The following is a 14,022-nucleotide window of genomic DNA, read 5'->3' as shown; positions in this document are numbered from 1 at the left end:
TGCATGTACATTGTGCTCCATTTGTTTTCTTTGACAGTTGAGGCTGTTGTGTTAACTTAAGAGTTACTATCATTTCTGAAGTTTAATCATTGCTGACAATATTACCAGTTCAGAATTTGAGGGAGTTTAGGCCTTGGAATTTGTTTTTTAAAAAATAACTCCCGGTCTGGCGCGGTGGCTCATGCCTGTAATCCCAGCACTTTGGGAGGCCGAGGTGGGCGGATCGCGAGGTCAGGAGATCAAGACCATCCTGGCTAACACGGAGAAACCCCGTCTCTACTAAAAATACAAAAATTAGCCAGACGTGGTGGCGGGTGCCAGTAGTCCCAGCTACTCAGGAGACTGAGGCAGGAGAATGGAATGAACCCGGGAGGCGGAGCTTGCAGTAAACCGAGATCTCGCTACTGCACTCCAGCCTGGGCGACAGAGTGAGACTCCATCTCAAAACAAAACAAAAAAAAATTAAAAAAAAAAAAAAAAAAAAACTCCTTTCTCTCAGATTTCTGTTTTTCATCTTTTTTTTTTTTTCCTTCCCTCCAATGAACTCCTGCTTCCACCATCCCTAATTTCACAACAGTTCTGCCTGTCTGAATCTGAACTGGCTAAAAAATGCTAGTTTTCTTTGCCACTTTTCTTCAAGCCATCTAATCAGAATTTTCAGATTTACCTTTTCTTCTTCCTACTCAACAACTCCCTAGCCCCCAGCCCCAGTCTTAGTCCTTATGATGTGCCTGCATGGATTATTTTAGCAGCGTCCTTGTTCCCAGTCTTTCTCAATTCCGATCCACCTTTGCACTGTATTTCAGTGTCAAACTTGCCTTTATTCACTATCAATTTCAGGAGTTTATTCTTCGGCTCAAGAACTTGCAGTAATTTTCTATTATATGATCCATCAAGTCTGAACTATTCCCAATAGGCTTTTAAGTCCATCTGCAAATGGCTCTACTACATGACTTCTGATCCCTTTGTTGTTCTATACACACTGGCCCCTCTCTGCCTCTGGAATATATGTGCCCACCCTCATGTCTTCCCTTGGGTTTTGGTCATCTTTTCTCTACCCAAACTGAAGGCATCCTTCAACTCCTACTTCCCTCACAACACCCTCTCTGGTAGCTCCTGCTCTTACCAAACTATGTCCTTTCTCAGTTTCTAATGAATGAACAATGCTTTGATCTCAGTAGCTCCTTCGTGTGTATACATGATTGGTCTATCTCTGAGCAGGATTATGTGCTTCCTAAAGGCAGAGACCAGATCTTATATTGGATTTGTTTACTCAAAATGTCAAATACAACACAAGACATATAGTACATAATATTACTAACTTTGCCATGTACTTTTCACCATATATTTGCTTATTTGCTTTACATCATAAATAACCTAATTAAGCACCTACAAATTGACTTATTTATTATCACATATCCCTTGCTTATGTCATTTGTTGTCCTACAATTCTCTTTTTACCTCTTTACTTCTTCCAAATGGAAATATTATTTACTGCTTTAGAAAGGTCAGTAAATATTGGCATTTGTACACCAATAATCAAAATCATCTATACTATCCTATATAAATTTATGAACAATCCTAACCATTAAAGATTATGTGGAGTTTTTAAAAAATTAAAAATAAACTAAACTTATATGCAAATAAAATACTCACAATTCCTTAACTACAATTCTGAAATACACATAACTCTTAAACTAAAAGTCTTTTCTTATAAGTTGATAGTCTTAATTTATTCCACCTAAAATGAATGTTTATATGTTTTGCTGCAGATATATTAATGTGTTTGGTTGTATAGTACTACCCTATACTCTGTTGGGAAGGTTACTTTAAATAAACAGAAAATGCATTGTATTACCTTTCCAAAGTCTGAGTTTTGAAAATGACCTCAATGGTTTCAGGTAAGGGAATTGTGTAATACATTTGTATAGTGCTGTGCAGACCTTTGCTTAATCATCTCAGTTAATGCTCCAAATAATGTTATGGTAGCTATTATTAATATTTCCATTTTCTATACTAGAAAACTAAGATGCAAAGAAATTATGTAACTTGCTAGTAAATGATACAACTGAAGCTCATATTTTCTAATTTTAAAATCTATGCCCTTTTTTTCTGTGCCAATATCTTGAACAGATGGTTTGAATCTCTACTCTTTAAGAATCATAATAAACTGGAACTAGGAATTTTTATATATCCTGACCTATCTATGTGTATCCAGAACATGTACTCCATACATTATGAACTGGCAAGCCTGCTGTGGTGAATGGAGAGCTTGTTGAGTACAATTGCTGAAATAAGACCAGAGTGCAGGGGTAATTCTTCCAGGGTCTTATAATTTGAGAAAAACTTAAAATAAGGAAAGGTCAGCATTTAATTCAGTAGCTACAGGTAAAACCTGTAGTGGGTATCTAAAAACAAGTGGGATGAATACAAATATTTAATATGTGGCTTCCTTATAAAGTCAAAGAAGCACTTAAATCAATGCATATACCTCTCAACCATACACCATATTCTTTTGATAAGTAGGCATCAATAATCTTCAGCATACTCAAGGCTCTATGTGGTTAATTACAGTATGTCCTCAGCCCTAGAAGTATATGAAATATAATTCAAAGTGTGTCATAAAGATGCCTAGAGCAGTAGATTGTTATAGTGATGACTTCCAATAAATTACAAGTCCCAGGATCCCATACTGACTCTGGGCTTGGTCCTGTGACTTGCTTTGGCCAAGGGACATCAGCAAACATGATGAGAGTAGAAACTGGTGCATTGGGGCTGCCCTTTAGAAAACCATCATGCTGTGAAGAAGACTGACATGAAAGACAATACCCGCAGAGAGCCCCAGCCTGATTAGATGAGCTATCAGATTGGTAAGTCTAGGCAAGACAAGCAGAGCTTCCCAGAGAATTGTGAGAAATAGTTGATTGTATTGTTTTAATTCACTAAGTTTTGGGGTGGCTTGTTATACAATAGATAACTGGATACACCCAGCTGCCAGTTTTTCATAAGGGGAAATGACTTCAGCCTGAGTTGTGGATTCTTCATTGACAAAGTACAGAAGGTACAAACTTAAGATGAAATGATAAATTTAAATAGATACCAAAGACTGAGTTTCCTCTGATCTTTGCATTTAAACCCTAATATTTTTTAAAGACTTGTGTATGTGTGTGTATATGTGTATATATAAATATATGCATTTTCATAAGTTTAATCTTCTTTAAAATAATTTACATGATAATAGCACAAAACCTGTGCATAAGTTTCTTAAATATTTGCATCTATAAAGTATAGGAGGTTTTGTTGAATATAGACAAGATAGAGTCTATGCCTTCTTTTTAGACTAAGAACAAAAAGCAGATAAAACATTCTAATATAAAGAGTATGAGGTCTGTGTTTGTGTGAATGATCAATGTGTTTAAAAGCAGAAAAGAAACCATAAATGGACAGCAAGTAGGTTGGCCTTTTCAGAGTGAGAATGCATGTATGAAAATGGCAAAAGAACTGCTGGAGTCTTAAGAGTTCTTGCATTCCAATGTAAAATGTAAAAATGGGGATAATAATATTTACACTGAATAGTTGTTTCAGAAATAAATGAGATAATAAATATGGAAGGGAAAATATAGCACCTGATAGTCATATTTCTTTCTTCCATGCTACCTCACTTCCTTTCATCCTTAACATCTCTAGGAAAATCGTTTCTCTACTCGCGACACTTAGAATACTAAATGTTTGGGTTCTCCACAGCATGCAGTTCTCCAGTTCTCTGTAGACACCAACTGCATGTCCTACTATTAAATTTAACTCTGATACCAACTACCCGGAGTTAGTGCAGTCCCCACAGGTTAAAGGCTCAGTCCTACAAGATTGCCCCTCATTTTGGATGCCAATCACAAGTGGTGGGTCTCCAGGTTAACCACATTTCTGACTTGGCTACAAATCTGGGGTTCCCACAACTCATTCAGGTTTGATAATTTGCTATAATGGCTCATAAAACTCAGGGAAACACTTAAGTTTATTGTTTATTATAAAGGATATTATAAAGGTTTATTATAAAGGATATTATAAAGGATAGAAATACACAGCCAGATGAAGAGGTACATAGGCTGAGGTCCAGAATGGTCCTGCCTGAGCACAAAAGCTTCTGCAGAGTAGAGATGTGCCACCCTCCTGGCATGTGGATGTGTTCACTAACCCAGAAGCTCCCACACTCTGTCATTTAGGATTTTTATAGAGGTTTCATCACATAAGCATGATTGATTAAATCATTGGCCATTGGCTCAATTTCCAGCCCTTTTCTCCTTCTGGGATGTCAAGGGGTTGGGCTGAAAGTCTCAACCCTCTAATCATGCCTTGATCTTTCTGAGAACCAGCCCCATCCTAAAGTTACTCAGGGACCCCAGCCAGTAGTCATCTCATTAGCATATAAAATGACACTCTTATCACTGGGTCTTAGAAGCTCTTTTATCAGGAACCAGAGACTAAGACCAGAACAAAAGATTTATAACAAAACATGCTCCTATTATCCCTATCACTTTGGAAATTACAAGGGTTTTAGGAGCTCTGTGTCAGGAACTGGGGCAGAGACCAAATATACATCTCTTCTTATGTCACAAAATTCATAACAGATTTTAGTTCATTTTGATTCTTAAGAGTTGTCATGGTTTTGTATATCAATTATTTTTGGTGTAGCAGGTAGGTGATAATTTGTATTTAATACTTTTAGCTGAATGATGAGGAATAGTGTAAAGAGTGAATCCTTTACAAATGAATCCTTTCCAAAGGATTCATTTCTGGCTGTACAGAATTTTTTTGGTAGTTTGACCTTGAATCAGAAAGAAACAAAAACAAAACCCACAAACTCTCTTCCTTGCTCTTCTGTGCTAAGATATACACAACCTCTTGGGACAGAACAGGCTAGGAGGTGAGCTACAAGAAAAACCATAATTACTAAGAACCTGTTCCCTACCTTACTAGAGATACCACTGTGCAAACTGCCTATCTATTCATTTAGTCCTCAAATATTTGCTGAGCAGAATCACCAAATAATTCACTAGGTTCTGAAGTTATTGAGATAATAGATTCAGTCCTGCCATCAAAAAGAGAGGGGACAACACAGTAGGGGGACACAGAAGTTTAAAAAATAACTGCAAATAATCTCTCAAGGTATGCAATATTAGAAGTAAATAATCACATACCTCTGTATTTTCATAAAGGAAAAAAATTATCATAAAAGTATTTCAAAAATATCAGTACTTGCTTAGGGGAAGAAGGAGGCGAGACTGGAGATGGAGAGTGGATAGAAAACTTGGCATAAGAAGGGACATTTACGGCTGGGCATGGTGGCTTTCACCTGTAATCCTACCACTTTGGAAGGGCGAGGCAGGTGGATCACCTGAGGTCAGAAATTCGAAACCAGCCTGGCCAACATGGTGAAACCCCATCTCTACTAAAAATACAAAAAGTAGCCTGGTGTGGTGGCATGTGCCTGTAATCCCAGCTACCCAGGAGGCTGAGGCAGGAGAATCTCTGGAACCCAGGAGGCGGAGGCTTCAGTGAGCCAAGATCATGCCACTGCACTCCAGCCCTGGTGACAGAGAAAGGCCCTGTCTCAAAAAAAAAAAAAAAAAAAAAAAAAAAGAAGGGACATTTTAAGTTATGTCTTGAAAGATGAATAATTCACAGGAAATAATCAGCTCTTCCTTGGTATGAACAGCTGAAGGGTGAAGTGAGCCTGCATTGTCTATAGGGTGCGCTGAAGGTCCCACTGAAGGGTAGGATGGGAGAAGAATGGTAGAAGAGGGAGCTGGATATGCGAGCAGGAACCAAGTCAGAAAGAGGTTTGTATATGTTGATAAGGAGTTTAAACATCTTGTCAGCAGTAGTAAGTCACTAATGAAGAGTCATTAAAGAGATCCAACCAGGGTTTAGACTGCAGGGACAAAGGCAGTTTCCTGCAGCTGGTGTCCAGAAGGCAGAGAGAGGAGAGAAGCTAAGTTAAACCTAACCTGAAGACATAATTTATCCCACACTAAGTATCCTTTGAATTAAATGAAAACCTTTAAACTCTCTTAGGATTTTTCCATCCTCAGCCATAGTTAAACTATGAAATCGATGAATCAAAATTTCAATTGCTGTTTTACTCTTCTCTGTGGACTAAGTTTTTAGAATATGCTGTTTATTCTCTTTACCTTGATGTAGTCCTGTTCTCTCCTAGCTATCCTCCCGGCTGGATGTGCCATGGCATGTCTTACAGCAGTAATACATTACGTTAATAAAGCAATTATTTAATTGACTCTAATTTCATTGGCATTCCTATTAGCTAAAGGAAAGTGGTTCAATCACTGTTTACATTTGTAAAGCCAATATTATGGTTTAAATTATGGTCTTTGGATGAATTTGAAAATTGAAGCCTGATAATCCTTAAAGCAATATTTACAGAGGATTCTTTGTAAAGAATAAAGGGAATGGAAACAAGAGCACATTAAATCAGAGGGGCTTTTAAATATTCATTTTGCAATCAGCTTCACTGGTTTCCAGACCACTACCTAACTTTGTAATTCTTGTTGTAGAGGAATACCAAATCTCTTGCTTTAATTATCCTGTGAAATATGAACTGCTACTTCACATTCTCTTTTCTGATTCTAAAGTATAGGAGTTCCAGATATAATGCTCACAATGCAAATGCTCTTCCTTAATGGAAATACCTTGGGAGACATTGCTAAAATTAGTATTTCAAAAATGTAGACATTTTGGATAGGGTAGCTTCTGATTTAAAATGACTTCTGCTCAGCAGCTGTTAATAAATCTCTTTAAATTACCCAGTAAAATAACCATGAGAGTACTAAAAATGGTAAAAACTCACAACTCTGAAAACAGTGTATCAGTAAACCTGTTGTCAGTGGTTTTCCATGAACCACAAGTGGTGGAAGTGGTCTAAATAGCAGTGTCCTACTTTGAAGATGAATAACCCAGAGAGCCCAAATAATGGTTGGCCAAATATGCTGCAGCCTAAAAGAAAGTAAAATCACTCTGAAAAAAATAAAAACCACTGAAACATGTTTAATATGGGGACCAGACAAAAATATTTGAGTACTCTGTGACACTGAAAAAAAGTATGTAAGACTTAGTTAATTTCAAGAAAGATGAAAATAGATTTAAAGTTTTCAGGCAGATAAAAAATAAAGCAGGTTACCTAAAAAGGGACAAAAATTAGGCTGACCTTAAACTTCTCTGAAACATGAAATGCCATAGGATGATGGTTTCATATCTATAGCATTTTTAGCAAAAATAGTATGTAGATTCCCAAATACCCTTCAGCCAAAGTCCCCTTATGTTAACATCTTATGTAACCAAAGAATATTTATCAAAACTAAGAAATTAACCTTGGTTGTAGGTAATTCTGTTAACTAAAGTACAGAACTTTTTCAGATATCACCAATTTTCTATTATCATCCTTTTGTTTTCCAAAATCTCACATTACATTTAGTTGTCATATCTCTAGTTGCTTCCAATCTACGACAGCACAGGAGTCTTTGTTTTTCATGATCTTGACACTTTTGAAGGATACTGGTAAATTATTTTGTAGAATGTGCCTCAATTTTGGTTTGTAAGATGGTTTCTCGTGATTGGATTAAAGTTATGTGTTATTGAGGGGGAAACCACAGAGATGATGCACCCTTGTCAGTTTATTGTATCAGGGATCACATAATGTCCATTTGTCTAATTACTGGTGATGTTACCCTTGATCATTTGGTTGAGCTTGTATTTTTTAGGATTCTCCACTGTAAAGTTATTATTTTTCTTTTATAATTACTAAGTACTTTGGGGGAGATGCTTTGATATTATAAAAATATCCTATTTTTGCATAAACTTTTACCCACTAATTTTGCATCCATTGTGTGGCAATTGTTACCGTGTGGTGTTTTAATGATGATTTCTATTTCCTTTATTCCTTGTATTTATTAATTGTGATTATTATATAAGAAAGAATTGTCACTTCTCCCCAATTTACTCAGTTATTATTTATATTAGTATGGATTCATGTATATTTATTTTATTATTTGGTTATAATCCAATGCTATCATTACTTTGTTGCACAAGTTGTTCAACTTTGGCAATTGGTAACTTTTCCTGGGTGGCTCCTATCTGTTTTAATATGCTCCCATCGTTTTTTCTTTTCCTTTACTTCCTTACTTTCAGATGCTCCAGGCTCATATTGTATTATCCCTTCTCCAGCACCTAGAATCAGCTATTTCTCCAGATATTCCTGTTTCTTTTATTGGAGAAGGAATTTAGAAACCAAGATCTGTGTTCACTGCTACTGGGGTAGCTTCTAGCCTCTTTCAGTGACTAGAGTGAGGAAATATATGTGTGGTTACTAACTAATGCATACACACACATCAAAACCAAACAGTGTTTATGCACAGTTCTTTTGTTCTTCAGCCTTAAAGTATCCAGTCAAAACACTTCTTTCCAGAGTTTTGTAAGTCAGCTCCCTTTTCCCCCATTCCCTTCAATGTTGCTTTGTGATTTAATTGTAATATAGTTAGATTCCTTGTCACAGTCTGCATTCTATCTTTTCCTCCAAATCCTGGTTGATTTGTCGGTTGTTTTCCTACAAAAAAGTTCACTCTGTGTGTGTACAGTTCTATGTGTTTTGACAACTGTGTAGAGTCACATGTCCACCACTGCCTTCTCTGCAGAGCAATTTCATCACTCTCCAAAAGTATGAGTTACCCTTTTTTGGACAATCTCTCCTCTCATTCTCAACCCCTGGCAACCAAAGATCTGTTTTCCTGCCTATGCTTTTGCTTTGTTAAGAATATCATGTAAAATGAATTCACATAATATGTAGCCATTTGATTCTGTCTTCTTTCACTTAGAAAAATGTATTTTAAATTAATTCATGTTGTATAAATCAATAGTTTGTTCCCTTTTAGGGCTGAATGGCATATCATTGATATGAAATCACTTAAGGATATCTGGATTGTCTACAATTTCTGGTTATTGTGAATAAAGCTCTTATAAACATTCACATATTTTTATGTGAATATAAATTTCCATTTCTTTTAGGTACATAGCTAGGAGTAGGATAACTGGGTGATATGGTAGGTGTATATTTAACTTTTTAATACATGGCCAAAACATGTCCAAAAGTGGCTACACTATTTTGCATTCCCACCTGTCTATAGCATTGTAAGGAGAAAATTGGTAGCCTAAGAATTTTATGCCCTCTTAAATGTTGTTTGTGTGTGATGGCAGCAGAATTCTCAGTTATTCAATAATTCAAAATTTATATCACCAAACATCCTTCTTGAAAAAAATTATTTAAAGTCATACTGTAGCTAGTTGAGAGAGAAATCAAAATTAAGAAGTCAAAAGAACCCATTTCTAAGAAAATCTTAAGGGGAAAAAATGAAGAAGGAGACTTCCTTCTCATAAAAAAGGATACCTAAGAAGACAGATCACATCATATAATATTAATAGTAAAGCCAGAACTCTCATTAAAATCAAGGGGGGACAGAATTCCCAATCTCCTCCTTATTTAACTGTATTCTAAAATTTCTGGTTAGTGCAATAAGACACAAATCAGAAATAACTGATAGAAAGGACTAACTGATGGACAGGAAAAGAGAAAAAAGGTTAGTAATTGCAGAGAATGTTTCTTAGAAAACCCAAAAATGCCAAGTCAAATCCTCTTAAATATAAATTAGTAAGGCTATGGAATACTAGAAAAATACCAAAAAATATCAATATCCCAGCAAGAAACAGAGGAGATGATAGGAAAATCTTATATGAATAACAGCAACATACACACCATAAAATTTCTAGGAATAACCCTAACTAAAATATGCAGGATCAGAAAACTGTAAATCTTATTGAAATATGGAAGACTTGGATACTGACTTTTACAATACTGCCATTTATTAATTCATTCATTTGATTACTTGTCCAAAATTTGTCTTTGCCACTGGTATACGTTCCATAAGAGAAGGGACAGTAATTGTCATATTTACTGTCTTATCCCTTATGCCTAATATATTGGCTGACTCATAGTAGGAACTCAAAAATATGTATTTCTACACACTAATATTTTATTCAGTTATCTGTTCTACAATGTTTTAATAGCTTATAAGACTTACTCACTTAGTAGCTTAGTAGTTTTTGAAAGGAGTCTAGACTAGTTAATTACCATTGCCTAACAAATTATAATACGCAGCCATTCAACCACAGGCAGCATTAAGGCTCCTGGTTTGAAGTGTAGATACCCACAGTCCTGCATTATGATTTTTCTTCACTTTCCCACTCCAATATTAATACATTCCACAACAGTAGGAATTTCAAAGCTTAGAGGAATTTAGGGGGTTTTAGAAGTGGCTGTTCTCTATGAAAAGTGTGATTTTACTTCCTCATTTCAATTTTTAGATCTCTCAGGAAATGCCAGGTTAGTAGCAAATGAATGGGAATGGACTACAAATTATAGTTATTAAAAAAAGAAGAACCCATAAAAGACCCACAGAATCTAGGAGCAGGTTAAAATGAACTATTTGACAGTATGCAATCTGAGTCACTTATCTGGAATCTTTCTGCTTCCATGTAATATAGAATTTAAAGTTAATGATGCTTCCCAGGATTCCATTGCTCAATGGCTTAGTTTCATTTTATAATTAGGTTAACATTTTTCTTTATAATATTTGATTGGTGACATTTTTCTAGATTTTAAAAATAATGAAATGATATTGTAACATTGGTTAAAGTTGACCTAATATCTAAACCACAGCTGAATTTTCCACATAAAGCATTTTCTTGATTATTCCTATCATTTTCCAATGTTTTATTATCTGTGGTGTGCATTGGTGTTTTTGTGTGTTTGCTCGGGGTGGGGATACTGTGTAGTAATTTCCCTGTTGTGCTTTTAAATAGGAACTTTCTAGGAACACTAGCAATGGTAATGTCATAGTTACTTACTGAGAGAACTAACCTGAATTCTATGGAGGTATACTGAAGTTTTGGGAAAATGAAATTAGAGATGCAGCATATCTCAGCAGTAATGAATCTGTTTCTGTTGTATAAAACAGGGTTAGGTTGTTCTTCTTAAAAGCAGTTTTTCAAACTTGGTACTTTTTACTGGTCAAGTGTTTATTCCATTGGGTCATTAATCTGTTATATTCCCAAAGTACTCTTTGGGTATAGTTCCTGTTCTAGCTAATGTGAAAGAAGCATTGGTCTATGGCAGATTTTTTTTATGCTTTTTAATGATAATTTTGAATTGTTTAGGTAAGACCCTCTTGAGTATCTCCTAGTGCTTATAAATGAAAAGAGCTAGTAAAGACCTTGTTTATAATGACTGACTTTACAACAAAGTTGGGCATATTAATCAACAATAGACACTGTCAGTTCTATTGCATATTACTAGACTGATGGGGGTGTCTCCACCTGTTTTCTGTTGTTACAACAGAATACCTGAGCCTGGGTAATTTACAAAGAAAAGAGGTTTCTTTAGTTCATAATTCTTCTTGCTAGAAGGTTTAAGATTGGGCAGCTACATCCAGTGAGGGCCTCATGCTGCTTCCACTCATAGCAGAAAGTGGATACATGCAAAGAGATCACATGGTGAGAGAGCAAGCAAGAGAGAGAAACCAGGGAGGCCAGGCTCTTTTTTAAAAACCTGCTCTTGTGGGAAGTAATCCATTCTAATGAGAGTGAGAACTCACCCTTGCAAGAGAGCATTAATCTATTTCTTGAGGGATCTGCCCCCATGACCCAAACACCTCTCAACAGGCCCTACCCCCAACACTGCCACATTGGGGATCAAATTTCAACATGGGTCTTGGCAGGAGCAAACCACAGCAAGGGGATTTAGCAATAAAAAAATTTAATAAATTTGATACGGAATTCAGAATTGTAATACAGTAGCAGAAACACATCATAAAAATTTAGACATCAATGAGGATAACCTTTGAATGTCAACTGCTTATAAATGAATTAGACTTGCTGCATTTTGGCTAAATTTATAGGTTATGGCAAATAAGATGGGAGGGGGCAAGACAGAAGAAACTAGAATGATTTTGTTTACTAAATATCTCAATGTCAACTGTTATTTTTAATGCTTCCTAGATATTTCCCTAAAAATATGAAATTTATTCAACCTAAATTCACGTAAATATAGAAGGAAATTCTTTAACTTGATCAATTAATGAACTTCTTTTGGAAATTAATTTTAACATTAGTCAACTGTTACATTTGAAGTTAGAATTTAAATAAGGGAGAGAAACTTAGAACAGGAGAATACAGGGGAATGCTGTAAGGCTGTGTAGGTGAGAAAGAAGGCTCTCCAAAGTCATAAGGCCTTCTTCCAAGATACTGAGTAGTTGTGCTGGATTATTCTCTTGGGAGTCATAGAAAGAGGTAACACAGTACTTGACTTTCTCTGATGCCAAAAAGCTCTGGAACTGTCAGTCAGAATTTTCTGTATATGACAATAACTGTGGTGCACTCACTGCAAAAATAAAACATTATTAGACGTAATCACACCTTTAGCTGTGATGACAGATGTTAAAATGACTATAAGCAGTTAAAGGGGAAACAGGTCACAGACAGTTATCTGGAAGCAATGAGACAAGGATGTTTGAAGAAATAACCTATTATCTGGAGAATGATAGGATTTTAGGATATGAGAGATAATGGGTGAGCTAATTGGGAAGACAAAACAGCAGGCCAATTTCTAATTAAATTGACAGCATATGTAGGATTTCATTCAGGGAAAGTACCAGTGATCTGAGATGGGCCACCATTTGCTCCATGCAATTCTGCAATGAGAGTGCTGCTGGAAGATGCCTCATAAAGAAGGGCTAGAAACATGGCATAGCTTTTAGGGGCAAGACTTTTTTTCACTGCCTATCAAGATAAATACCATACCAATGATGTGTTCATCCACAATATGGTAATGAAATAGGAAGAGGGCATCCAGGGTGATAGCTGTGAGAGTGAGTCAGTGTATAAATTCTGCTTAGGAAGGAAGATGTTTAAATTTGAAAAAAAATCCATAAGTATTAAAGGGTATTCTTGCTGCCTTCCTATTGTGACACTCATCTGACTAAAAGATAAATCAAACGGAATGGACTGATAGGGTTGGTAACTGGATGTGGTAGGAAGAAAGCTGAATAAATTAGCAAAGGACAGAGTTTTTTTTATTTAAAAGGGTTATAGTTTTCAGATGTTGTTTGACCTCTTAAAGGGGGATAAGCTTGATATTTTTAAAGCAATACTTACATCTGAAATAGTATCACGTACATTTTTAGCTAGTACTCAAACAAGTTCCATATTCTATATAAATGGGGAAATGTAATTCATAATTGACAAGGTATGAATTTTTTACACTTTAAGCCATGAGATTGCCACATCAACAAATGTAATTCCTTAGCAAATATGTCTTATGTTTATATTTATGAAATGTACACAATTGACGCAGAACCCAAAAGGGAATAAGTAAGCATTTTAAATATATATATATATTTACTTGGATTTGCAAACTCCGTTCTGGAAAACATTTATTAAATGAGAAACAAGGAAGGAATGCAAGCAAAATGTGCTTAGAGTCTCAATTTATCTTGGACTTGGTGTTACTTTTCTGGATTTTTCCAAAGCTTAGACTTCCATTGGTTAAAGTGTTGGCCTTTGCTTTGTTTTGTTTTTGTTTTTAACTTACAGAGTACTAGTCTCAAAAGTGGAAATGATAAACTATTAAAACTTCAAATTTATCTATGGGAGCCCCACAGTGCAGTGGTGATTTCATGTTAAATATTTTAAGTTGAAACAGCAAGAAAGAGATCAAGCGAAGTATCTTAGAAAGAGAGACAAGGTCTGGATACGTGATGTATTCCACATTTCATGCAGCTATTGAAAAGGGCAACACAGCTTGCCTAAGGGCCATAAAATGAGTACAGTTGGAGAGTCCAGGCTCCAGAATGAAAACTAGCAGGTTGTGATGATTTGTAGAGGTGTGTATGTAAGCATGTCCAG

At 35.8% G+C, this 14,022-nt stretch overlaps 1 protein-coding gene and 1 long non-coding RNA gene across 7 annotated transcripts in view, besides 1 other annotated feature; one reads left to right on the top strand and one right to left on the bottom strand.

The window, feature by feature from the left end:
* The window catches only part of LOC105379087 (uncharacterized), a 140,268-nt gene that overhangs the window by 63,972 nt on the left and 62,274 nt on the right, over positions 1 to 14,022 (bottom strand). The window lies entirely within an intron of this gene.
* KIAA0825 overlaps positions 1 to 14,022 on the top strand; it is a 467,754-nt gene that overhangs the window by 430,717 nt on the left and 23,015 nt on the right. The window lies entirely within an intron of this gene.
* Positions 2,565 to 3,073: an enhancer, noted in NCBI's record as "OCT4-NANOG hESC enhancer chr5:93520520-93521028 (GRCh37/hg19 assembly coordinates)". NCBI's record gives its function as "activates a minimal SCP1, AML or CMV promoter by ChIP-STARR-seq in primed H9 embryonic stem cells {active_cell/tissue: H9 hESC(primed)}" and the evidence as "EXISTENCE:reporter gene assay evidence [ECO:0000049][PMID:30033119]".

The sequence above is a fragment of the Homo sapiens genome, chromosome 5 (assembly GCF_000001405.40).
Source record: "Homo sapiens chromosome 5, GRCh38.p14 Primary Assembly".
Lineage (NCBI taxonomy): Eukaryota > Metazoa > Chordata > Mammalia > Primates > Hominidae > Homo > Homo sapiens.
This window is presented reverse-complemented; position numbering and strand designations above follow the sequence as displayed.